This window comes from Homo sapiens, chromosome 22 (genome assembly GCF_000001405.40).
Source record: "Homo sapiens chromosome 22, GRCh38.p14 Primary Assembly".
NCBI classification, from domain to species: domain Eukaryota; kingdom Metazoa; phylum Chordata; class Mammalia; order Primates; family Hominidae; genus Homo; species Homo sapiens.
In genome coordinates, this window is record NC_000022.11 from 49870861 (window position 1) to 49898134 (window position 27274).

The following is a 27274-nucleotide window of genomic DNA, read 5'->3' on the forward strand; positions in this document are numbered from 1 at the left end:
CAATCCACTCAATTATTTTGAAGCAAATACCCAAAATCATAATTCACGTAGCTACATTTCAGTAAGTATTTTTAAAAGATAGATTTTTTTTTTTTTTTGAGATGGAGTCTCACTCTGTTACCCAGGCTGGAGTGCAGTGGTGCAATCTTGGCTAACTGCAACCTCCATCTCCAGGGTTCAAGCAATTCTCATGCCTCAGCCTCTCAAGCAGCTGGGATTACAGGTGTGCACCACAATGCCTGGCTAATATATTTTTTTTTAGTAGAGATGGGGTTTCACCCTGTTGGCCAGGCTGGTCTCAAGCCTCCCAAAGTGCTAGGACTACAGGCGTGAGTCACTGTGCCTGGCTTAGAATTCTCTTTTAAAAGTTAATTCATCAGCACTTTGGGAGGCCAAGGCAGGTGGATCACGAGGTCAGGAGTTCGAGACCAGCCTGGCCAATGTGGTGAAACCCCGTCACTACTAAAAATACAAAATTAGCTGGGTGTGGTGGCACGCACCTGTAATCTCAGCTACTCAGGAGGCTGAGGCAGGAGAAAGCTTGAACTTGGGAGGCGAAGCTTACAGTGAGCCGATATTGCCACTGCACTCCAGCCTGGGCGACAGAGTGAGACTCTGTCTCAAAAATAAAAAAAAAGTTACATTTTCAGTATAATGTAGTCTGGTAAGCGTGCAATAGCATGACGTCTAAAACAATGTACCTACCTTGATTTTTAAAAAGCTTGTTGCTGAAAATGCCAACAGTCATCTGAGCCTTCAGCAACTCATAATCTCAGCTGGGAGGAGATGTTGCCTTGGTGTCCAGGGCTGCTGACCAATCAGAGTGCAGATTGCTGACCAATCAGAGTGCAGATTGCTGAAGGGTGGGGTGGCTGTGACAATTTATTTATTTATTTATTTTTTTTTTTTTTTGAGACAGAGTCTTACTCTGTCGCCCAGGGTGGAGTGCAGTGGTGTGATCTCAGCTCACTACAACCTCCACCTCCTGGGTTGAAGCGATTCTCCTGCCTCAGTAGCTGGGATTACAGGTGCACACCAACATGCCCAGCTAATTTTTGTATTTTTAGTAGAGACGAGGTTTCACCATGTTGGCCAGGCTGGTCTCGAACTCTTCACCTCGTGATCCGCCTGCCTCGGCCTACCAAAGTGCTGGGATTACAGGCGTGAGCCACTGCACCCGGCTGACAATTTCTTAAAATAAGACAATGAAGTTTGCTACATCGATTAACTCTTCTATGAAAGAGTTCTCCATAGTGTACATTTTACCCACAGTAGAACTTCTTTCAAAATTGTAGTCAATCCTCTCAAACCCTGCTGTTGTTTTATCAATTATGCTTATAGAATATTCCAAAATCTTTATTGTCATTTTAACAGTGTTCATAGCATCTCCACCAGGAGTAGATTCCATCTCAACAAACTAGTTTCTTTGCTCATCCCTAAGCAGCAGCTCCTCATTCACTCAAGTTTTATCCTAAGAGTACAGCAATTCCGCCGTATCTTTGGGTTCTGTGTATAATTCTAGTTTTTGCCCTTTCCACCAAATCTGCAGTCACTTCCTCCATTGAAGTCTGAGCCCCTCAGAGTCATCCATGAGGGTTAGAATTAACTTCCTTCAACCCATTCTCCTGGTAATGTTGGTATTTTCCCGTCCCAGGAATCACACATGGTTTTGTTTTTGTTGTTTTTAGAGATATGGTCTTGCTCTGTCACCAAGGCTAAAGTGCAGTGTCACGATCACAGCTCACTGCAGTCTCAACCTCTTGGTCTCAAGCGAACCTCCCGTCTCAGCCTGCCAGGTAGCTGGGACTGCAGGTGTATGCCACCAAGCCTGGCTAATTTTTAAATTTTTTTTTTTTTTTCCTGAGATGGAGACTCACTCCATCGCCCAGGCTGGAGTGCAGTGACGTGATCGCGGCTCACTGCAACCTCTGCCTCCCAGGTTCAAGCGAATTCTCCTGCCTCAGCCTCCCGAGTAGCTGGGACCGCAGGCACCTGCCGGCTAATTTTTTTGTATTTTTAGTAGAGACAGGTTTCACCATGTTAGCCAGGATGGTCTCGATCTCCTGACCTTGTGATCCACCCGCCTCGGCCTCCCAAAGTGCTAGGATTACAGGCGTGAACTACCGCGCCCAGCCAATGTTTTAATTTTTTGTAGAGCTGGGGTTTTGCCATGTTGCCCAGGCTGGTCACAAACTCCTGAGCTCATGCAGTCCACCTGCCTTGGCCTCCCAAGGTGCTGGGATTACAGACATGAGCCACTACAGCCAGGGATTTCCTTCAAGAACTTTCCTTTGCATTCACGTCTTGGCTGTTGGTACAAGAGTCCTAGCGTTGGCCTCTCTCAGCTTTAGACGTGCCTTCATCACTAAGCTTAATCATTTCTATCTTTTGAAAATGAGAGACGTGATACTTCCTTTCACTTGAACATGTAGAGGATTAATCGGCCTAATTCTAATTTCTCGTGTGTCTCAGGGAAGAGGGAGGCTGGAGGAGAGGGAGAGAGACGGGGAACTGCTGGTTGATGGAGCAGTCAGGACACACATTTATCAGTTAAGTTCACTGTCTGACATGGGTGTGGCTTGTGGTGGCTCACGTTAATTACGATGGTAGCATTAGAGAGTACTGATCACAGATCACCATAACAGATACCATGATAATGGAAAAGTGTGAAATATTGCCAGAATTACCAAAATGTGACACACAGGTGGAGAGCCCCTGCTGTTAGAAAATGGCACCGATGGACGTGCTTGATGCAGGATTGCCACAAACCTCCAATTTGGGGGAAAAAAAAGTATCTGCAAAGAGCAGTAAAGCGAGGTGCGGTGATATGAGGTGATATGAGGTATTGGGTCTTCCCACCTCATCACCCCCACCCTGCAGCCCCAAGAAAGGCTCAGAGAGAGTCAAGACCAACCTAGAATGAGATGTCTGTTTTGAAGAGAGAACAGCTGGGTTCTTCTCGACCCACAGGGATGCACGGCCCACCTTGTAGGTTGGAGCGAGGAGCGTGGAGGACAAGATCATCCTGGAATGAGAACATAAGGGCTGGGGAATGGGGCGGCGCTGCCACCAGGGAGGAGAGATGCCTGAAATTAGGACATTCCCGGGGAGCTGGCCCGTGCCGAGAACAAGAATGAGCTTGAGTCCTGTGACCTCTCTGAACTCTCTTACTCTTTAGCTCTAGTACTGTTTTGTAGAGGCCTTACAACCTTTATGACATCGATGGCCCTGTCGTCTGCCCATCAAGGCAGTTCTGATTTTCTCTGACAGCCGCCTCCTGCCTGGGCAGACTCCCATCCAGTGCTGTATAGAATATGCCGAGGGGAAGCACTCACTCTTTCACTGATGAGTATGATGGGAGCTGCACTGTTTCCCGGATGCGTCTCATAAGGCTGAAGATGTTTCCTTCCATTCCTGGTTTGTGCAGAGTTTTTGCTGTGAATAGAGGTAGAAGTGTTGGCAAATGTTTTTCTACATCGAATGACGTGCCCATATGGTTTTCCTCCTTTTGCTAATGTATTGTTTTAATTTTTTTTTTTTTTTTAGATGGAGTCTTGCTCTATCTCCCAGGCTGGAGTGCAGTGGTGCGATCTCGGCTCACTGCAACTTCTGCCTCCCAGGTTCAAGCGATTCTCCTGCCTCAGCGTCCCAAGTAGCTGGGATTACAGGGGCCCACCACCATTTTTGTATTTTTAGTAGACATGGGATTTCACCAGTTTGGCCAGGATGCTCTTGATCTCCTGACCTCGTGATCCAGCTGCCTTGGCCTCCCGAAGTGCTGGGATTACAGGCGTGAACCACCATGCCCAGCCTTTTTTTTTTTTTTTTTTTTTTTTTTGAGACGGAGTCTCACTCTGTCGCCAGGCTGGAGGGCAATGGCTCGATCTCAGCTCACTGCACCTCGACCTCCCGTCCAGGTTCAAGCGATTCTCCTGCCTCAGCCTCCTGAGTAGCTGGGAAAACAGGTGCGTGCCACCATGCCCGGCTCATTTTTGTATTTTTAATAGAGACGGGGTTTCACCATGTTGGCCAGGCTGGTCTTGAATGCCTGACCTCAGGTGATCTGCCCACCTTGGCCTCCCAAAGTGTTGGGATTACAGGTGTGAGCCACTGCACCCGGCCTGTTTTAATTTTTTGACTATTAAACCAACCTTTTATTCCTGTGATGAATCATGACGTATTATCTTTGATACATAGTGTTTAATTTAATTTGTTACAGTTTTGTTAAGGATTTTTTTTCTGTGCTCATAGGGTATCAAGTTGTTTCTTTTATTGTAATGTCTTTGCTGGTTTTGGTATCAGGGTAATGCTGCTGATATAAAGAATTGGGAGGTGTTTCTTCCTTTATTTTCTGGAAGAATTTGTATTTTTTTTTTCTTTAATGTTTGGTAGAATTCACCACTGAAGTCATCTGGGCCTGGGAGTTTCTCTGTGGGAAGGTTTTTCAACTATAAGTTCAATTTGTAAATAAAAGGCTAATCAGCTTATTCTTGAGTTTTTGTAGTTTCTGTCTTTCAAGTAATTTGTCCATTTCATCTGAGTTGCATAATTTATTTTCTTTTTTTTTTTCTTTTTTTTGAGACGGAGTCTTGCTCTGTCACCCAGGCTGGAGTACAGTGGCGCCATCTTGGCTCACTGCAGCCTCCACCTCCCGGGTTCCAGGGATTCTCCTGCCTCAGCCTCTCAGGTAGCTGGGGTTACAGGTGCGCACCACCACGCCCGGCTAATTTTTGTATTTTTAGTAGATACAGGGTTTCACCATGTTGGCCAGGCTGGTCTCGATCTACTGACCTCAAGTGACCTACCTGTCTTGGCCTCCCAAAGAGCTGGGATTACAGGCGTGAGTCACCCCGCCCAGCTTGTCCATTTCATCTGAGTTGCAGAACTTATTTTTATAAAATTTTTTATATGTTTCCTTACTATCCTTTTATATATGTAGGATCTGTAGTGATACTCCCTCTCTCATTCCTGGTAGTGGTAAATTCTGTCTTCTCCATTTTTTTCTCTAATCAATATTTGTAGAAGCTTATCAATTTTATTGCTCTTTCCCAAGAACCAGAGTTTGGTTTCATTGATTTTTTTTCTTTTTTTTTTATTTCATTGATTTCACATCTTTATTGTTTTTTTCTTGCTGCTTACTTTGGGATTAAATTTGCTTTACTTTTGTGTGTTTTTTCTTTGATACTGCGTGTAATATAAAAGTGTTATTTATTTGAAAATAGTTTGGATTTTTTCAGATATTATTGTATTGCTGAAGTTTTATTCAGTTCCTTTGTCAGAAACCATTCTTTGATTTTGGTTCTTTTAAATGTATTGAGGTTTGCTTTATTGTCCAGAGAAGAGTCTGTCTTGGTGAAGGTTTTGTGTACACTTGTAAATAATGTGTATTCCGTTGTTGTTGGACTGCTCAATAAATGCCCATTAGGTCAACTTGGATAATAGTGTTGTTTGAATCTTCCGTGTCTTTACTGATTTTTATGTACCTGTTGGTTACTTATTGAATAGTTCTGTGGAAATCTCCATCCGTGATGGTGACTTACCTTGTCTCCCTTTAGTTCTCTCAGCTTTGCTTCGTGGTTTTGAAGGTCTCTTTGCAGGTATATGCACCTTTGGGAGAATGCGCTCTGGATGAATTGACCCCCTTATAATTTTGTGATGTTGTTTGTTATATTTAGTATGTTATTCTTAAATCTTTACCCGGTATTAATGTCGCCACTCCAGCTTTCTCTCGGTTTGTATTAACATGGTATACCTTTTTTCATCCATTTGTTTTTAGCCCTTTTCCTGTTTGCCCTGAGAATACTCACCGGCAGTGCTTGCAGCTGCAGCGTTTACCCCGAGATAAGTTTGCCATGAAATCTCTCGTTTTCATGATGACTTCTGCATTGCTCGAGTATATCGACTTTGGAAACAAAAGACCTCGTTCTATTTATGGCATTCTGTTTTTAGTAGTGGTATTTCCATTTACAAAATATAGGAATTCTCAGTTGCTGAAAACGTCAGATCCCAGAAGACACAGCGTTCCCACACGTGGTGTTAACATCGTTCCCAGTTGCTGGCCAAAGATTCCTTTGATGAATCCGATTTTTCCAAAATAGATGATTCTGATGATTCAGATGACTCTGATGTTAGTTCTGTTTAGAAATAATTCCAAGAACAGTTTTTATGTTTTATTTTCACATTGAAAATCAGTCAGATTTACCTCAGCCTCAAAGAGTGTGTTTATGTAAAAGTAAATGAACGCTGGCAGTGAGCTGCAATTTTTTTTCCTAAACGAGAAAAAGATTAAGCTATTTGTGTCTTTATGTTTAAAGCGTGTTTCTTGTAGGCAGCATATAGGAAGTCTTGCTTTTTTATTCATTCTGACAATCCCTGTCTGTCTCAAAAAAACAGCTTTATTATTTATTTATTTATTTATTTATTTATTTATTTATTTATTTATTTATTTTGAGATGGAGTTTTGCTCTGTCGCCCAGGCTGGAGTGCAGTGGTGCGATCTCAGCTCACTGCAACCTCCGCCTCCCAGGCTCAAATGATTCTCCTGCCTCAGCCTCCCAAGTAGCTATTATTACAGATATGTACCACCACACCTGGCTAATTTTTGTATTTTTAGTAGAGACGGGGTTTCACCATGTTGGCCAGGCTGGTCTTGAACTCCTGACCTCGTGTGATCCCTCCCACCTTGGCCTCCCAAAGTGCTGGGATTACAGGTGTGAGCCACCACGCCTGGCCTAAAAAACAGCTTTATTTGGGTATAATTGATATACAATAAACACATATTTACAGTGCATAATCTGATAAATATATATCCATATCCATATAGTATGCCTAAACAGCTGCTGTGAACATTTGCATATGAATCTTCATATGGACATGCTTGTGTATCCATAAACCCATCCTGCAGGTGGCATGGACACACACATCCCTCCTGACTGTGTCTTCTGCCCCTCGTGGCCCCTCCTCCCGCCAGCACAGACCTGCCCTTTGGCCTCCCGCACTCTGCAGGATTGTTTCGAGATTCATCCGTGTTGCGTGTATCCATTCATTCTTTTGTTATTGCTGCATAATGATCCATTGTAGGGCTGTATCACAATTTGTCTTCTAGTTTTTAGATACTACATATAAAGCTGCTGTGAATTTTATATGTAAGTCTTCATACAGAGGCCAGGCGTGGTGGCTCATGCCTGTAATCCCAGCACTTTGGGAGGCCGAGATGGGCGGATCACCTGAGGTCAGGAATTCAAGACAATCCTGGCCAACGTGGTGAAACACCGTCTCTACTAAAAATACAAAAATTAGCCAGACGTGGTGACAGGCACCTGTAATTCCAGCTACTCAGGAGGCTGAGGCAGGAGAATCGTTTGAACCCGGGAGGCGGAGGTTACAGTGAGCCAACGCACCACTGCACTCCAACCTGGGTGACAGAGTGAGACACTGTCTCAAAAAAAAAAAAAAAAAAGTCTTCATACAGAGATAGGCTTTCATTTCTCAAGAGTAATAATAACTGGGAGTGGAACAGCTGGGTTACGTGGTCAGTATAAACACCGAAGAAGAGATTGGTGGAGCGATAGAGAATCCAGAAATAGATCCACACATATGCGAGCAACCAATTCTCAACAAAGTTACATGGGCACTTCATGGAGAAAGGATTGTCCTTTCAACAGATTGTGTTGGAACAGTTAGACATCCATGTGCAAAAAAATGAACTTCAATCCTTCAGAGATCTAAATATAAAACTTAAAACTTCTAAAAGACAACACAGAAGAAAGTCTTTGAATTAGGCAAAGATTTCTTTGGTACAAGCCCAAAAGCACAATCCATAAAGAACACATGAGTGAAGTGGACTTCATCAAAAGTAAAAACTTATGCTCTTCAAAATACACTAGTAAAAGAATTAGAAGACGAGGTGGGTGGATCACCTGAGGTCAGGAGTTTGAGACCAGCCTGGCAAACATGCTGAAACCTTGTCTCTACTAAAAATAAAAAAAATGAGCCGGGAGTGGGCCAGGCGTGGTGGCTCATGCATGTAACCCCAACACTTTGGGAGGCCGAGGCGGGCAGATCACGAGGTCAAGAGATAGAGACCATCGTGGCCAACATGGTGAAACCCCGTCTCTACTAAAAATACAAAAAAATTAGCCGGGTGTGGTGGCGCGTGCCTGTAGTCCCAGTTACTCAGGAGGCTGAGGCAGGAGAATCACTTGAACTGGGGAGGTGGAGGTTGCAGTGAGCCGAGATCGCGCCACTGCACTCTACCCTGGCCACAGAGTGGGACTCCATCTCAAAAAAAAAACAAAAAACAAAAAAAAACAGGAGTGAAGTGGCGCAATCTCGGCTCACTGTAACTTGCGCCTCCCGGGTTCAAGCGATTCTCCTGCCTCAGCCTCCCGAGTAGCTGGGATTACAGGCACGCGCCACCACGCCGCGCTAATTTTTTTGTATTTTTAGTAGAGACCAGGTTTCGCCATATTGGCCAAGCTGGTCTCAACCTCCTGAGCTCGGTTGATCCGTCTGCCTCATCCTCCCGAAGTGCTGCGATTACAGGTGTGAGCCACCAAACCCAGCCTAATTTTTGTATTTTTTTGCAGAGACGATGTTTTGCCATGTTGCCCAGGCACACACCACTATATCCGCTCTTACAATAGCTGTTTTCATGTCCTTGTCCACTAATTTTATTATTTGTCTTATGTCCGGGCCTGTTTTTATTGGTTGGTTTTTCTCCTGGTCAGTGTCTGGGCGTGTTTCTATTGGTTGGTTTTTCTCCTGGTCAGTGTCTGGGCGTGTTTCTATTGGTTGGTTTTTCTCCTGGTCAGTGTCTGGGCGTGTTTCTATTGGTTGGTTTTTCTCCTGGTCAGTGTCTGGGCCTGTTTCTATTGGTTGGTTTTTCTCCTGGTCAGTGTCTGGGCGTGTTTCTATTGGTTGGTTTTTCTCCTGGTCAGTGTCTGGGCGTGTTTCTATTGGTTGGTTTTTCTCCTGGTCAGTGTCTGGGCCTGTTTCTATTGGTTGGTTTTTCTCCTGGTCAGTGTCTGGGCCTGTTTCTATTGGTTGGTTTTTCTCCTGGTCAGTGTCTGGGCCTGTTTCTATTGGTTGGTTTTTCTCCTGGTCAGAGGTGGTTTTCTCCCGCTTCATCGCAGGTCTGGTTGTTTTTGTCAGCCATTTTGTATTTTACTTTATTGGGTGCAGGATTTTGTTATATTCCTTTAAATGCTGTTGAGACTTGTTTTAGGTTGTAGTAAAGTTAATCATAGACCGTTTCCTCCTCTTGAGGCTGGCGTTTAAGCTGTGTTCGGGTGGCTCCTAACACGGCTTAAAAGAGCGGCCGTTGTTGTGAAGCCCACTGTTCAGTCCGGACCCTTCTGACCCTGCTTGCTGTTCACTCTTGGTGGTGGAAACACAAGCTGTTCCCAGCCTCCAGGGAGCCCTGGCAGTTCTTTTCCCCTTTGGTTCTCTGAGGGTGGTTTCCTCAAATGCAGATGCAGATCAGTATTCAGCCAAAGACACGAGGAACCTCCGCAGGTCTGCGTAGCTCCCTCCTCTCCCGCGCTCGGGACATGCTCGAGACCACCGGGCTCTGCCAAGTTCCGACTCCCCGCCCCGCAGCCTGGAAGCCTGGAAGCCCCGCCGTGAGCGAGGGCAGGTGGGGCTCCCTCTTTAGCTTTCACACTTCTGTGATCACTGTCCTGTGCTTTCTCTTCTCTCTCAGCGTCTGAAAACGTCGTTTCGTGCACGGCGTCTGGCTTATGAGTTGTCTGAGGTCAACCTGGTTTCCTTTGTTTTGTTCATCATGGCTAGAAGTGGAAGTGACTGTGAGTCCAGCTTTGTTCTTTCTTTCCAAAATAATTTTATTTATTCCTGATTCTTTGTATTCCCATATCAATTTTAGACTTCTGTTTATCAGCTACTGCAAAAAGCGTTTTGGAATTTTGACTGGGATCATATTGAATTTATAGGTCAATTTGGGAAAATACTGATGTCAACATTGAGTTTTCTAATCCATGAACTTGGTATATTTCTCCATTTGTTTAAAAGCCTTTAATTTCAGCAGTGTTTTGCAGCTTTCAGTATACAGGTCTTCTTTTTAAGACCTGTATACTTGTGTACCTGTATACTAAAACAAGCATATTTTAAAAATTTTATCTTATTTCATGCTTTCATGCATGCTTTTGGACATTATATGTGGAATTTAAAAATGTTTCATTTTCTGGCCAGGCGCAGTGGCTCAGGCCTGTAAACCCAGCACTTCGGGAGGCTGAGGCAGGTGGATCACGTGAGGTCAGGAGTTCAAGACCAGCCTGGCCAACATGGCGAAACCCCGTCTCTACTAAAAATACAAAAGGAATTAGCCGGGTGTCATGGCACACGCCTGTAATCCCAGCTACTTGGGAGGCTGAGGCAGGAGAAGCACTTGAACCCAGGAAGCGGAGGTTGCGGTGAACTGAGATCGTGCCGCTGCACACTGCAGCCTGGGCGACAGAGTGATCCGTCTCAAAAAAATTTGTTTTTCATTTTCTAATTCATCTGTAGAAATACAGTTGCTGTTTTTTTGAGATAGGATCTCACTGTTGGCCAGGCTGGAGTGCAGTGGCACAATGATAGCTCACCACAGCCTCAAACTTTTGGGTTCAAATCATCATGTCTCCTCAGCCTTCCAAGCAGCTGAGATACAGGCACGCACCACCGCACCTGGCTAATTTTGTTTGTAAAGACAGAGTTTCACTATTATTCAGGCTAGTCTTCAAACTCCTGCCCTCAAGTGATCGTCCCATCTCAGCCTCCTGAGTTCCTGAGTAGCTTGGGACTACAGGCTCACCATACTTGGCATTTTTTGTTTGTTTGTTTTGTTTTTTGTTTTGTAGAGAACAGGGTCTTGTTTTTTTGCCCAGGCTGATCTCAAACTTGTGGTTTCAAGCGATCCTCCCACCTCAGCCTCCCAAGTACTAGGGTTACAGGCATGAGCCACTGTGCCTGGCCTGTGTTAATTTTTTATTTTTCTTTTTTATCTGGCTGTACTTTGTAGAACTTATTGGGAATGCTTTTCAGAAAGAACCTGCATTTATTTCTGGTGGGAGCTAGCAGTTTTTATTAACCTTGGAACACTTTTTAGGGCAACCATACATCTTGCTTTGCTACAGATAGGTTTGGCTTAAGCCTGTTTCCCCAGCAGTATTATTAATAGCTCCCTTTCACTCTCAGAAATGCCCTGGTTTAGAAAATACATGATGTGGTGACTTCAGTTCTTGGTTCCTGCATGGTGGAGGAATGTCGGGTTCAGCTCCTCCCTGTGGGGGTGACCCATGCTGACCAGGCTAGGGATGGCGCACCTCTCCTGCCCATTTGCCACTCCCTGTGTCCCTTGAAGAGTTCTCCCACTTTCTGGCATGCCCAGTAATACTTTAAAAAGTAAGTTTGTGGTGGGCGCATTGGCTCGCGCATATAACTCCAGCACTTTGGGAGGCTGAGTCGGGAGGAGGGCTCACACCTGGGAAGTCGAGGCTTCACTGAGCTGTGGTCACGCCACTGCACTCCAGCCTAAGTGACAGTAAAACTCCGTCTCTTCAAAAAAAGTTTGTTAGAGGTTTTCTAGAGTCTGGTTTTATTATAGAATATTTATGCTGCCATATTACTGAAAACATGCTTTTGTTGCTACTTGGTTTTAGTTCCTTAGTAAACTGCTCCATCTCCTACCCCACATGACTCCATCGTCCTCCGAGCTTCGGCTCAGTTACACCCTTACAGCTCCTGCCCCTGTTCTCCGTCTTGCCCTGCTCTCTCCTGTCTTTGTAACGCCATGTTCCTTCACTTCCAGCGTTTACCATAGCTGGAATCTCACGGTTCTTGGCTGTCAGGTCCCGTGACTGTCTCCTCTTGGCTGCATTCCAGCACGGCGCAGCATCACTTGGGGACGGGGCATTGAATGGGTGACAGGAGGATGGGCTGGAAGCGGTTTTCACCCACAGGACGCCTTTCCCTTCTCAGATGCAGGAGCCACTGTGGTCCGTTTCCTATTCAGCTTTTCGTCTGGGTTGATGATTTCACACGTTAGCTAGAGTTTTTCAAATTCGTATTTCATGTATCAGGTCTTCTAGCAAGGAAGGATGAATAGATCTCAAGGAATTCAGCTTTGCTGATTATAGCAGCTGTGAGTACCTCTCATGAACTGTTTGAAGGATGAGGGCATAAATTCTAGATGAGGCAACCTCTTTATACCATTCTAGGTTTTAATTCATGTTCCCCAATCCTTTATTAATAGGCCACTTGCATTTTTTTTCATGTCTCTATTTTTTGCTTATTTTGCAATTTGGGGGTATTGTCATCCTGTAAACGGATTGCAGGAAGTCAGAGAACAAGTTTTTCGATTCCAGTTTTCCATTATACAGTTTTTTTCTATACATATTTAGGCGGATGGAGCCATGACGGTAGAGGTTAAAATGTGTGATTTAGTTCCATGCTTAATTTGATTTCATCTCTTATAGGTAATGCACAAGGGTCACGTGTATGCTCTCAAGATGATCAGGCAGATCCTGTCCTCAGGACCAGAAGCACGTCTCTGCTGCACACATTGTTGTCTACACCATGAGTGTTTAGTAGCAGGACTCTTGGAAAGCAGTGATCTATGCTGTAAGACCATGAGTCACAGATTCTTTTTTTCAGTACTATTTATGATTAGCCATATTTCTAGAAACATCCTGAAAGATGGAATTATGACGAAAAAGTGAAGATAATCTACATTCGGGGGCACAAATGAGCACTTGGATCAGTGTTTTATGAACCTAAGATACAGCCGGAGTAGTTATGGTCAGTCATGGAGAATAACTTGAAAACTTGTCCCAAAGAGGACGGTGATTTCGTTTCTGATAAAATAAAGTTTAAAATAGAAGAGGAAGATGATGATGGAATTCCTCCTGATAGTTTGGAAAGAATGGACTTTAAAAGCGAGCAGGAGGACATGAAGCAGACAGACAGCGGTGGGGAGCGAGCGGGCCTCGGTGGGACGGGTTGCAGCTGCAAGCCCCCGGGGAAGTACTTGTCTGCAGAGAGTGAGGATGACTATGGCGCGCTGTTCTCCCAGTACAGCAGCACCCTATACGACGTGGCCATGGAGGCCGTGACCCAGAGCCTCCTTTCCAGCCGGAACATGAGCTCCAGGAAGAAGTCTCCAGCCTGGAAGCATTTTTTTATCTCTCCCCGAGACAGCACTAAAGCAATATGCATGTACTGTGTGAAGGAGTTCAGCAGAGGCAAAAACGAGAAAGACTTGAGTACCAGTTGTCTCATGAGGCACGTGAGGCGCGCACACCCGACCGTGCTCATTCAGGAAAATGGCAGTGTGTCTGCCGTGTCCTCGTTCCCCTCTCCCTCACTCCTGCTTCCACCACAGCCTGCGGACGCGGGTGACCTCAGCACCATCCTCTCACCCATCAAACTTGTCCAGAAAGTGGCGTCTAAGATCCCGTCCCCCGATCGAATAACAGAGGAGTCTGTGTCTGTAGTTTCTTCTGAAGAAATCTCCTCTGACATGTCCGTTTCGGAGAAGTGCGGCAGAGAAGAAGCCCTGGTGGGGTCGTCTCCCCACCTCCCTGCTCTCCATTACGATGAACCTGCAGAGAACTTAGCGGAGAAGAGCCTTCCACTTCCAAAGAGCACCTCTGGGTCCAGGAGAAGGTCCGCTGTCTGGAAGCACTTCTACCTGTCGCCACTGGACAACTCCAAAGCTGTCTGCATTCACTGCATGAACGAGTTCAGCCGGGGGAAGAATGGGAAGGACCTGGGCACGAGCTGCCTCATCAGGCACATGTGGAGGGCACACCGCGCCATCGTGTTGCAGGAGAACGGGGGCACGGGCATCCCGCCACTGTACTCCACCCCTCCCACTCTGCTGCCTTCCTTGCTGCCGCCGGAGGGGGAGCTCAGCTCTGTGTCCTCGTCTCCAGTAAAGCCGGTCAGAGAGTCCCCTTCGGCCTCCTCCTCCCCTGACAGGCTGACTGAGGACTTGCAGTCTCACTTGAACCCTGGAGATGGGCTGATGGAAGACGTGGCGGCCTTCTCATCTTCCGATGACATAGGGGAGGCCTCGGCGTCCTCTCCTGAGAAGCAGCAGGCTGATGGGCTGAGTCCTAGATTGTTTGAATCTGGCGCCATCTTCCAGCAGAATAAAAAGGTCATGAAAAGACTGAAGTCGGAGGTCTGGCATCACTTCTCCCTGGCCCCCATGGACAGCCTCAAGGCCGAGTGTCGGTACTGCGGCTGTGCCATCAGCCGGGGGAAGAAGGGTGATGTGGGCACCAGCTGCCTGATGAGACATCTCTACCGGCGCCATCCAGAAGTTGTCGGGAGCCAGAAGGGCTTCCTGGGTGCAAGTCTGGCAAACTCTCCGTATGCCACTTTGGCCTCTGCAGAAAGTTCCTCTTCCAAATTGACTGACTTGCCAACAGTGGTCACAAAAAACAATCAAGTTATGTTTCCTGTTAATAGCAAAAAGACCTCGAAGCTGTGGAATCATTTTTCTATTTGCTCCGCAGACTCCACAAAAGTCGTGTGCTTGCACTGTGGCCGGACCATCAGCCGGGGGAAGAAGCCGACTAACTTGGGTACCAGCTGTCTTCTGAGACATTTACAGCGGTTCCATAGCAACGTGCTGAAAACTGAGGTCTCGGAGACGGCTCGGCCCTCCTCTCCGGACACCCGGGTGCCGCGGGGCACAGAATTATCAGGCGCTTCCTCTTTTGATGACACCAATGAGAAGTTTTACGATTCTCACCCAGTTGCCAAAAAAATCACAAGTCTCATAGCTGAAATGATTGCACTTGACCTCCAGCCATATTCTTTTGTAGACAACGTTGGCTTTAACAGGCTGCTTGAATACTTGAAACCTCAGTACTCCCTCCCCGCCCCTTCCTACTTCTCCAGGACAGCTATCCCAGGTATGTATGATAATGTGAAGCAGATAATTATGTCCCACCTTAAGGAAGCTGAGAGTGGTGTGATCCACTTCACGTCTGGAATATGGATGAGTAACCAGACCCGTGAGTACCTGACCCTCACGGCCCACTGGGTTTCCTTCGAGTCGCCAGCCCGGCCGCGCTGTGACGACCACCACTGCTCGGCGCTGTTGGACGTGTCGCAGGTGGACTGCGACTACAGTGGCAACAGCATTCAGAAGCAGCTGGAGTGCTGGTGGGAAGCGTGGGTGACCTCCACCGGCCTTCAGGTGGGCATCACCGTCACCGACAACGCCAGCATCGGGAAGACGCTGAACGAGGGGGAGCACTCGAGCGTGCAGTGCTTCAGCCATACGGTGAACCTGATCGTCAGCGAGGCCATTAAGAGCCAGCGGATGGTGCAGAACCTGCTGAGCCTCGCCCGGAAGATCTGCGAGCGGGTGCACCGGTCGCCCAAGGCGAAGGAGAAACTGGCCGAGCTGCAGAGGGAGTACGCGCTGCCTCAGCATCACCTCATCCAGGACGTCCCGTCCAAGTGGAGCACTTCCTTCCACATGCTCGAGCGGCTCATTGAGCAGAAAAGGGCCATTAACGAGATGTCCGTCGAGTGTAACTTCCGAGAGCTGATCAGCTGCGACCAGTGGGAGGTCATGCAGTCCGTGTGCCGTGCGCTAAAGCCCTTCGAGGCTGCGAGCCGGGAGATGAGCACGCAGATGTCCACCCTCAGCCAGGTCATCCCCATGGTACACATCCTCAACAGGAAGGTGGAGATGCTCTTCGAGGAGACGATGGGCATCGACACCATGCTGCGCTCTCTGAAGGAGGCCATGGTGAGCCGCCTGTCTGCCACCCTCCACGACCCGCGGTACGTCTTCGCCACGCTGCTGGATCCTCGCTACAAGGCCTCCCTGTTTACGGAGGAGGAGGCGGAGCAGTACAAACAGGATTTAATCAGGGAACTCGAACTCATGAATTCTACCTCAGAGGACGTGGCTGCCTCCCACAGGTGTGATGCTGGCTCCCCGTCGAAAGACTCTGCCGCAGAGGAGAACCTGTGGTCACTTGTGGCCAAGGTGAAGAAGAAAGACCCAAGAGAAAAGCTGCCTGAAGCCATGGTGCTTGCGTATCTGGAGGAGGAGGTGCTTGAACACAGCTGTGACCCGCTCACCTACTGGAACCTGAAGAAGGCGTCCTGGCCGGGGCTGTCCGCGCTGGCCGTCAGATTTTTGGGCTGCCCCCCAAGCATCGTCCCTTCAGAAAAGCTGTTCAACACACCCACTGAGAACGGTAGCCTTGGCCAATCCAGGCTCATGATGGAACATTTTGAAAAACTTATCTTTTTGAAAGTGAATCTTCCCTTAATATACTTTCAGTATTGAAACTCACGACGGCACCACTAGGCCAGAGGCGTGGCTGCCCCAGCGTTAGCAGCCTGTACCAGGTCTATGACCCGCTCTGCCCACGGCTGTGTACGACATCAGACCAGGCACTCTCAGGGCCGCTCTCCAGCTCACCACAGTGTCTCCACGTGCCTTACCCCTTCTCCTTCAGGCCAAGTTTCGCGGGGTGTTTTATTAAGACGTCCACTAGAAATAGCTTGTCCTGTCAACTATGAAATATGGTGACTAGATTTTAATTCATAACCGTAAAGTTTTTTAAAGTTTTGGGTTAGTAATTTGTTTTACTAGAATGACAAAGAAGATGTAAACCATTTTATTCTGTAGGCTTTTTACTCAATTATGTACAAACCACAAATCAGGTACTGTATTTTAGTGAAGCATTGCTTTAATTGCAACAGAATAGCTTTTGTGGCTATCAAATGAAATCTGTAAATAGGAGGTGGAGGGCAAGCCATCCTGACTGAGCAGTTTTTAACCGCAGGTTCTAAAGTGTCCCGCGGAGTACAGATAATATTCTGGAAGGTAACTGTTTACTACGACAGAGACGTGGCATTTGGAAACGAAACTTAGATGTTTCATGGAGCTTATTTTGAGAACTTTCCCATTTCAGGTTTCTGCATTCAGGCTTTACATGGTCAGTTAACTCAGAGATACCCCAGCTGTTTATCATCAGCTCCTCTGAAATGTGATCCCTTTGTAACTGTGCTCATCACTTCGCCAGTGCGTTCAATGACACGCTGATGGCAGGTGGTCCCTGCTGAAACCCCCACGCCTCCGCTTCAGCATCTCCACGCTCTGAAGCTGTCTTTCAAAATGTGTGCACTGACCCCCTTGTTTGATCAAATTTGTGTAAAATTTTTTTAGAAGAGATGGCTTATTAACAGGGAAGAAGCTTGTTATATTCCAGTTGTAAGAATAGCCTTAGTGTTTAGATTTTTTTATGATAGGGAAGATGCGGCCATCACTGGGATATTTTCAAATCCCAAGGACATCAGAGTGAAGTGTCAGTTGTCAGATGATTTTAAAAGTTATGTCTTCAGAGAAAAAAAGATTCATTTTCTCATTTTAAACCAATTAAATATTCTGAGTGAGACTAATCACTCATTTGCCTACGACCTTTTAGAAAAGTTGTTTTGTTGAAATACTGTACGTACGCTTAATCTAAATTTGCATTGACTATGTTTTAGTGTATTTATAAATGGTGAACTCAGTTTCTGAAATTAAACTTCTTATTTGCAATTTTCTAGTGCTGGCAGACACTGGCTTTTTATTTTTAGGATAAGAAAACAGGCATATTCTTTGTGGTCCATTATCTAGAGCCCATACTTGGGCAGCATTTGAAATTTCACCTTAACCCCAGACAGGGCTCCAGGGAAGTGGAGATGTAATTCTTACAACAACAGTTCTGATCATGGCCATGGTGATGACTTTCCAGGTCTCGTGTTCAAGTGGTGCCAGAATGCAGGAGCCGGTGGGCAGCCCTGAGGGGTTGCCTTGGCCGCAGCCTCTGTGCACGCTCTTCCTGGTGTCCTCTTACCCGGTAGCTGTGCGCTTGTTCCCGTGAGAACAGCCTGCTTCCAGAGTGCCCAGGAGTGCTGGTCAGGGACAGTGCCCGTGAGGCTGCAGAGGAGGTGGGGTCCATGGCCCACCCATCTCTCCCTCGCCAGCAGCCCTGGCCAGTGTCATCCTGGTGTAGAAAGGGTTGCGCACAGGATAGGAGGGAGCCACAGTTCTTGCTTAGCTGTGCTCACGACCAGCTTGCAGTCCTGTGTTTCTTAAGATTGTATTTGGAATGGTAATATCCTTAGAATTTTGGGATATTGAGCTTCATGGATTTTCTCTCCAAAACAAGCCAGCACAACTAACTGTAGCAGAATTGTATCCACTCATTCATTCAACTGAGATGAAGTGCCCTCCCTTTTCCAGGGCCTGGGCTAGTTCCTGGAATGCAACAGAGATTTCCGTGGACACAGTCTCTAGTCTCACAGAGCATATAGTCTAGTCCACGATTGGCAAGCTGCAACCACAGACCCAGTCCGGCACTCTGCCCATTTTTCTAAGTGAAATTTTCTTGGAATACAGTCACAGCTGTTTTTTTAACATGGTGTCTTGGCTACTTTCAGGCTGCGACGGGAGAACTGAATAGTTGTGACAGAGACCACAGGCCCACTGAAAGGGACAAACAGGGCTGAAAATACTCACTGTTTGGCCCTTTCCAGAATAGCAAGTTTGCTGGCCCTTGAGCTAGCCTGCCTTTATGGGGTTTTTTTTGTTTGTTTTTTTAAGCTTTCAGCTTCATGCTGCTGTATTTTTAGTTGAAGTGTTCTGAGTAACAGTCAGTGTATAAAAGGGGATTGCAGAAAAAAATGAGGGCTTGCTTTACTCAACAGAAAATATGGCCCTTCCTGAATGACACTAGGAGAGTCATTTTATCTCATACATTCCCTTCATTTCGTTGGTGGACATTTGTTGAAACCGGCACTCAATGGTCAAACCGTCTCTGCCCTCCAGTTGCTGACAGTCCTGCAGGAAGATGGACAAGAGGCCCAGTGCTGACAGTCACACGACTCTCACTACTTGAATGAGGGGACTGTGGGTGCAACTAGAAAATATGTTGATTCTTAGCCATTCCCACCTTGCCTCTCCGTTCAGAACCCCAGCTGCGAGCTGTTTGTTTCCCTGCCTGGAAATGATGTTTTAGGCAGGTTCCTTAATTTCTCAGGTCTGTCTCAGATAATAAAAAGCTCTTTGTATGAGCCTCAGAACTGTCTCTTCAGTGAATGAAATTACCAGTCATTATACGAAGGGACTTTAAAAAATTTGTGGAAATACTGAAGTAAAAGATGATAAAAAAATAAAAACTTTATTTCTTGGCTGGGCACAGTGGCTTATGTTTGTAATCCCAGTACTTTGGGAGGCTGAGGTGGGAGGACTGCTTGAGGCCAGGAGTTCAAGAAATTAGCCAGGTTTGGTAGTGCATGCCTGTAGTCCCAGCTACTTGGGAGGCAGAGGGAGGAGGATTACTTGAGCCCAGGAGTTTGAGGTTGCAGTGAGCTGTGATCACACCACTGCACTCTAGCCTGGACAACAGAGCAAGATCCTCTCTCTTAAAACCACCAACAATGACAACAACAAAACAACATTTTTATTTCTCAATGTAAGCTCCATCAAGATCAAGATACTTTTGTAAGCTGTGACACCAGCCATTTAGTCCACCTCTAAAGAATTGCAGGCTCTGGGAATTTAACCATGTCAGTGCAGCCTTTTTAACATTATTAACGGAAGAAAAAATGAGTGCTTTTAAAGATTTTTTAAAATGAGGAAACAAAGTCAGAAGGAGCAAAATCGGGACTGTAAGGTGGATGCCTAATGATTTCCCAACAAAACTCTTGAAGAATTGCCCTTATTTGATGAGAAGAATGAGCCAGGAGCATTGTCATCGTGGAGAAAGACACTGATGAGGCTTTCCTGGGTGTGTTTTTGCTAAAGCTTCGGCTAACTTTCTCAAAACACTCTCATAATAAGATGTTATTGTGGCCAGATGCGGTGGCTCACGCCTGTAATCCCAGCACTTTGGGAGGCTGAGGTGGGCAGATCACGAGGTCAGGAAATCGAGACCATCCTGGCTAACATGGTGAAACCCCGTCCCGTCTCCACTAAAAATACAAAAAATTAGCTGGGCGTGGTGGCAGGCACCTCTAGTCCCAGCTACTCCAGCTACTCGGAAGGCTGAGGCAGGAGAATGGCGTGAACCTGGGAGGCAGAGCTTGCAGCTAGCTGAGATTGTGCCACTGCACTCCAGCCTGGGCGACAGAGCGAGACTCCATCTCAAAAAAAAAAAAAAAATGTTCTTTGGCCCTCCAGAAAGTCAACAAGCAAAATGCATTGAGCATCCCAAGAAACTGTTGCCATGACCTTACTTTGACTTGTCCACATTTGCCTTGACTAGGCCACTTCTACCTCTTGGTAGCCATTGCTTTGATTGTGGTTTGTCTTCAGGATGGTACTGGTAAAGTCCTGTTCCATCTCCTGTTATAATTCAAGGAAATGCTTCAGGGTCTTGATGCCACTTGTTTAAAATTTCCATTGAAAGCTCTGCTCTTGTCTGCAGCTGATCTGGGCACAACGGTTTTGGCACCCATCGAGTGGAAAGCTTGCTCAACTTCAATTTTGAACCAGTTGAGATGTCTGTGGTCTTGGCTATTGTTCTGTTAATCGTCAGTCCTCTTTAATCAGAGCATGAACAAGATCAATATTTTCCTTGCAAATTGATGTGGATGGTCTGCCACTGTGGTCTTCATCTCCAATGTTGTCTTGATCCTTCTTAAAACGAGGTATCTATGTGTATACTGCTGACTTCTTTAGGGCACTGTCCTCATACACTTTTTGTAAAGCATCATGATTTTCACCATTCTTCCACCCAAGGTTCACTATAGATTTGATGCTTGTTTTTGCTTCAGTTTTTGCAGAATTCATGTTCTGCTAGGAGCCCTTTTCAAACTGATTCTTACTGCCTCAAACTAGATCTATTCAGGCATGTTCTAACAAGTTAGTATGAGTTTATTTTGGAGCAAAAGAATTTTGAAATGCATGCATAGTTTTGTCATAATATGCATTTTCCATGAACTTTTTGAAGACCACTCCTGCAATAATAAAACATTGAACTTCATTTAAAGCTAAAATTCCCTTCTCTTCCACTTCTGACTATGAGGCAGCAACTGCTATCAGACCAAACCTTTCCCAAGAACTATCAAGGCCATATAAAATATATTTTTAAAAAGAGCTTTTTGCATCCTGGCTAAAACAGTGAAACCCCGTCTCTACTAAAAATACAAAAAATTAGCTGGGTGTGGTGGTGGGCGTCTGTAGTCCCAGCTACTCTGGAGGCTGAGGCAGGAGAATGGCGTGAACCTGGGAGGCAGAGGTTGCAGTAAGCCGAGATCGTGCCACTGCACTCCAGCCTGGGCGACAGAGCAAGACTCTGTCTCAAAAAAAAAAAAAAAAAAAAAAAAACTTTTTGAAGACATCAGAGAGTAAGACAGCCAGGATTTGAAGAAACAAAATCCTAGTAAGATGAGACTTGCATAAAGGTGAGTCCTGTGTTCACAACATTTTTTCCTGTTGGGCCATTTGCTGGTGTCCTGCCCTAAGGCCTGACAGAAGGTGGCAACCAGAGCTGGCGTGGTGTCACTGGGCTGGGAGACCGGCAGCAACACACAAGCTGTCATGTTGGCCAGGATGCCAGGAGCCTCAGAGAAGTGGCCGAATTCCCAGTGTGCAGCTTCCCCTGCAGCAGGTGCCTATTCCTGGTTGCTGCTTGTGCTTGAGGCAAGAGGCTTGGAAACCCAAATATAGCAGCAAAAGGCTGGAAAGCTGAGACATCTTTGGGCAAGGGAGACAAAACTTGGGACTTCAGTGCCTGCCATTGAGAAAACTCTGAGGTTTCCAGGTGAGTCCCCTGAAGGGCAAACTGGAGAGGGACCAACCCTCACCAAGTCTGGACATGGCTTGAGCCATCTCAGCCTTGATTGCATCAGGGCGATCTGCCTCACCTTTCTGCTAGAGGAAAACTAAATTTTCTTTCAATGAAAACATCAGAGCTCCTATAACTTTACAGATAAACAGTTTGACTCTCATAAAAAAATTATGAGACACACTGAAAAAAAGGACTAAGTGACTGAAAAGAGAATCATAAGACAATAGAAATAGTCTCACAGGTGATCCAAATACTGGAGTTTTCAGACACGGACTTTATGATTTATACATTCAATAATATGGATGAGAAGGTGGAGAATGCCACCAGAGAGAATCTGTAAACGTGCTAATGCTGAAAAACACAACGATGAATGAAGAATTCCCTAGATGTAGTTAGTACCAAATTAGGCTTATAGATGAAAGGATTACTGAATTGGAAGACAAGCCAGTAGAAAACATTCATCTTGAAGTACAGAGAGATGAAAAGTGCCTGAGAGACACAGCGCAAGAGAAAAGACTAGCACACAGCTGACGGGAGTCCCAGAAGAGGAGAGAGAAGGGGTGGAGCGCCATTTGGATGAGATCACAGCTGAGGACTTTCCAGAACTGTTGGGACATCAGCCATAGGTGTCAATATCTTTGAACCCCAATGAGGATAAATTGAAAATAACAACCTGCACCTAGGCACATCATGGCAAAGTGCTGAAACCCAAAGAGAAAGAGACAACCTTAAGCAGAGGGAGGGAGGAGAGACACTTTTACCTTCAGAGGAGCAATAAAGCTGGCAGCTGACTCTCTAAAACAAATAGTTGGAATGGTGGAGTGGCTTTTTTTAAATGCTGAAAGGAAATAATTACCAATCTAGATTTATATACCCAGTGAGAAGATTCCTCAAAAGTGAGGATGAACTTAAGTTTTTGGACAAAACAAAAAATTGCAGAAACTTGTCACCAGCCAACCAGCCCTAAAATATATCCTGGAGGGAATTCTCCAGGTGGACACTTGATGTGGGAAGGAACAAGGAATACTCCTGAAAGGAGCAGAAACGGGAAAGCTAAATAAATAATAGACTGCCTAAAACTATCTCTTAGAGTTCAAAATACAGGTAGACTTAAGATACATGGACAGTAAGGACAAAAGGTGGGAGGGAAATAAAGGATTGCACCATCCTGCAAGGGGTGAAAGTATGGATTTCAAGTAGATTCTGGGCCAGGTGCAGTGGCTCACACCTGTAATCCCAGCACTTTGGGAGGCCAAGGCAGGCGGATCACCTGAGGTCAGGAATTTGAGACCAGCCTGGCCAACATGATGAAACCCCGTCTTTACTGAAAAAACAAAAAATTAACTGGGCCTGGTGACGCATGCCTGTAATCCCAGCTACTCGGGAGGTTGAGGCACGAGAATTGCTTGAACCCAGGAGGCGGAGGTTGCAGTGAGCCGAGATGGCACCACTGCATTCTAGCCTGGGCGACAGAGCAAGACTTCATCTCAAAAAAAATAATAAAGTAGATTCTGACATCAGACGTGATCTCTAGGGTAACCGCTAAAAGCAATAAACATGTTGATGAAACTGGACTAATACCTACTTTCACTAATCCCAAAGAAGGTAAGAAAGGAAAAATAACCAGATGGGACACATAGGAAACAGAGGCAAATGGTAGCTTTAAACCAAATGTGTCAGCAAGCATATTAAATGTAAGTGGAATGCAAACTCCAATTAAGTGTGTTAGATTGGATAGACAAAACCCAGCTATGTTCATTCACAGGCTTCACATATCGAGTCCAAGGATGCAGAGTGAATGCGAGAGGCCAGAAGCCAGGGCACCACCCACACATCTGCTACAGCTGTTCACATCTGACAGCACGGCCTCAGGCAGGAGGACTCATTAGAGATGGAGGGACAGCTCAGTGACCAAGTGGTGAGGTTAATGGGATGACACAACAATGCTAAACATAAAAGCACCAAAGAACACAACTCCAAAATGTGACTGGAACAGAAAGAACTAAGAGGAGAAATAGACAATCACAGTGAGAGATCTGAACACTTGCCTCAGCAGCAAATAAAGTGAGTGTTGTTCCAGAATGTGTCCTGACTGACCACTCCCTCTGGCCCCAGTGACCATCCTGCCGGACGGCCGTCTCCTCCCTGGTTGAGCAGCCTTGAGCAAGGGTAGCAGTGGGCAGTGTGTGGAGGCCAGAGGCCTCTCACGTCCACCCACCCCAAAGGCACTGCCCTGGGGGACAGCTGAGTGAGGAGAGAGGGAGACACCCTTGAAGCAGGGAGGGGAGAGTTGGAGGGAGTCACATGTGGGAGTGAAGCCCAGGAGGAGGAGGAGGGGCAGGAGCATTGCCGCTGGGGGCAGACAGGCTGATGGAGGGAGAGGGGAGGCTCTGAGCCCCAGGTGACACCATGCTGTACACATTGCTTTACAGCCCATCTTTCTATGTTAGTAAACCCACTTCATTATTTTATAGGGCTCTGTGGCTGTATTCAGTATTTTATCACCATAAAAATTCTCATTGGAGCTTCTGAGTTGAGAGGCAGAGGCATTTGCAGGGGTAAGTCTTCCCATCCTCCTGCTCTAACATCCACTCGCTTCATTCTAGTCGTTTCTCGTTAGGGTCCTTTGTAGGGATTTTGTAATTTTGGTTGGATTTGTGACAGGGAATTTTATTCTGCTTCATTTTAAAAGTGGGCCAGGTGTGGTGGCTCACACCTGGGATCCCAGCACTTTGGGAGGCCGAGGTGGGTGGATCACCTGAGGTCAGGAGTTCGAGACCAGCCTGGCCAACGTGGTGAAACCCCAGCTCTACTAAAAATACAAAAATTAGCCAGGTGTGGTGGTGCGCACCTGTGGTCCCAGCTACTCAGGAGGCTGAAGCAGGAGAATCACTTGAACCTGGGAGGCAGTGGTTGCAGTGAGCTGAGGTCGCACCATTGCACTCCAGCCTGGACAACAGAGCGAGACTCCATCTCAAAAATAAAAAAAAAAAAAAAGTGGTGCTGTAAGGAGAGTTTGTATCCTTGAGGGAAGACCATTTATGTTTACTTACGGCTTTACAATTAACATTTAGTTTATTGAGGTTACTAATTAAAATACTAGGTTTTCTTTAAACAATTAAAGAATTGCCTTCTACTTATAAATGTAGTGGATTTTAATTGAGTAGGACCAGTCACTCTAAAGGAGTCTTAATATTTGATCAGCTGCAGTTAAATGAGATTAGATTCACTCAGCCATCAGTCCACTTGGCAGTCTTGGTTGAGTTCTGGGAAGGGCAAATGCTGGGTCTCCTGTGAGCAGCCCCTCTGCTCAGCACTGTGCCCCAGGGAAGGGCCCGTGTCCCTGCTGGGTCTCCGCCCACCATCTCTTCCCAGTGAGCTGGTCCTGATGTCCATGTCAGCCTTTCAGTGACTGTTGCTGCACCTTCCTGCACAGTCTGTTAACAGACCAGAGGAAACCCACTGGTGTGGCTCAATAAAATAATTCTAAATATGCACGTGTCTCTTGCATGAGACTTCTGGGGTGCTGACAACAGGGCCCTGGGCCTCAGTTTTCACCTAGGCGTCATCCTCATGCTCAGGAACGTCTGTGGCTAAATCTCTCCCCGTGAGATGCTCTTTTTCTTCAGGAAATAAAGGTTTTTCCAGAAGCATCCCAGCAGACCTTGTTCGGCTGGAGTGGGTCCTGGGGGACCTCTCTAGTATCCTCCTATTGAGGTGGGTGAGGGAGGAGAGGCCACATGGCCACCTGCCCCCAGCCTCTGCCATGTCCATGGTCCCAAGGCCATGTGAGCCCTTATGCAGGCCCAGGTCCTGGTCCCCTGCTCCTCTCTGGCGTGGTCCAGCCCATTGTCTCTCTGCCACAGCACCCTCAGTCTCACAGCATCAGTGAAGTCTTAATATCTTTTCTCTTTTCCTGTCAACATTTACCTTGGTACTTTGTCCTCTTAATTTTTTTTATTATTTTTTATTTATTTTGAGATGAAGTCTTGGTTTGTTGCCCAGGCTGGAGTACAATGGCGTGATCTCAGCTCACTGCAACCTCCGCCTCCCGGGTTCAAGCAATCCTCCTGCTTCAGCCTCCCCAGTAGCTGGGATTACAGGTGCCTGCCACCACGCCTGGCTAATTTTTGTATATTTTTTTTTAGTAGAGACGGGTTTCGCCATGTTTGCCAGGCTGGTCTTGAACTCCTGACCTCAGCTGATCCACCTACCTTGGCCTCCCAAAGTGCTGGGATCCCAGGCGTGAGCCACCACACCTGGCCCACTTTTAAAGTGAAGCAGAAGAAAATTCCCAGTCAAAAAAAAAAACAATTCCTCAATGCTCCACCTACTCATCCTATCCTCCCTGCCAGCCCCGGTCTTTTTTGTCTCCATAATTTTTCCTTTTCTAAAATATCAAATAGTTGGACTCATACAGTATGTAGCCTTTTCAGACTGGCTTCATTCACTAATATGCATTTAAGATTCCCTCATGTCTTTCTATGGGCTAGTCATTCACTTATTTTTAGCACTGAATAACAGACATGCCACAGTTTATCCATTCACCTACTGAAGGGCATCTTGGTTGTTTTCAAGGTTTGGCAATTATGAATACACCTGCTATGAATATCCTTGTACGAGCTTTTGTGTGGACGTAAGTTTTCAACTCCCTTGAGTAGATACTGAGGAGCTTGATTGCTGGATCACAGGGTAAGAGTATGCTTAGTTCTGTACGAAGCTGCCAAACTGTCTTCCAAAGCAGCTACACTGGTTTGCATTCACGCCAGCAATGAATGAGTTCCTGTTGCTCCACATCCGCACCAGCACTTGGCATTATCCATTTTGGATTTTGGCCATCCTAACAAGTGCGTAGTGGTGTCTCATTTTTGTTTTAATTTGCAATTCCCTAATGACCATATAATGAGGAGCATTTTTGTATATGCTCAATTGCCATCTGCGTATCTTCTTTGGTGAGGGGTCTATTCAGATCTTTTGCCCATGTTTTCTTTTTTTTTTTTTTTTTTTTTTGAGATGGAGTCTTGCTCTGTCGCCCAGGCTGCCGTGCTGTGGTGCAGTCTTGGCTCACTGCATGGGTTCATGCCATTCTCTTGCCTCAGCCTCCCAAGGAGCTGGGACAACAGGTGCCCACCACCACGCCCGGATAATTTTTTTGTATTTTTTTTAGTAGAGATGTGGTTTCACCATGTTAGCCAGGATGGTCTCAACCTCCTGACCTCGTGATCTGCCCGTCTTGGCCTCCCATAGTGCTAGGATTACAGGCGTGAGCCACCACGTCCGGCCTCAATCACATTGTTTTCTTATTTATGAGTTTTAAGAGTTCTTTGTATATATTGGATACCAGTTCAATATATACTTTGTATATATTGGAGACCAGTGAGACAGGGTCTCACTCTGTTGCCCAGCCTTGACCTCCTGGGCTCAAGTGATCCCTCCTGCCTCAGCCTCCCAAGTAGCTG

The 27274-nt window shown here is 46.3% G+C and overlaps 2 protein-coding genes across 7 annotated transcripts in view, besides 2 other annotated features; one reads left to right on the forward strand and one right to left on the reverse strand.

Moving 5' to 3' along the window:
- ZBED4 (zinc finger BED-type containing 4) overlaps positions 1 to 19220 on the forward strand; it is a 37231-nt gene extending 18011 nt beyond the window's left edge. For 3 of the 5 annotated variants that reach the window (XM_047441685.1, XM_047441686.1, NM_014838.3), the window contains exon 2: positions 12474 to 19220. In XM_047441685.1, coding sequence (XP_047297641.1) covers positions 12803 to 16318 — 3516 coding nt within the window. In that variant the 5' untranslated portion in view covers positions 12474 to 12802 and the 3' untranslated portion in view covers positions 16319 to 19220. Of the gene's footprint in view, positions 1 to 2243; positions 3418 to 8552; positions 9807 to 12473 lie in introns of those variants that run through there. The other 2 variants (XM_047441684.1, XM_024452312.2) reach the window with 2 other exon arrangements.
- Positions 1 to 27274, reverse strand: part of ALG12 (ALG12 alpha-1,6-mannosyltransferase) — a 59128-nt gene that overhangs the window by 11550 nt on the left and 20304 nt on the right. The window lies entirely within an intron of this gene.
- Positions 10900 to 11129: an enhancer, noted in NCBI's record as "active region_19282". NCBI's record gives its function as "activates an Ori minimal core promoter by ATAC-STARR-seq in GM12878 lymphoblastoid cells {active_cell/tissue: GM12878}" and the evidence as "EXISTENCE:reporter gene assay evidence [ECO:0000049][PMID:35858748]".
- Positions 17423 to 17924: an enhancer, noted in NCBI's record as "H3K4me1 hESC enhancer chr22:50281931-50282432 (GRCh37/hg19 assembly coordinates)". NCBI's record gives its function as "activates a minimal SCP1, AML or CMV promoter by ChIP-STARR-seq in primed H9 embryonic stem cells {active_cell/tissue: H9 hESC(primed)}" and the evidence as "EXISTENCE:reporter gene assay evidence [ECO:0000049][PMID:30033119]".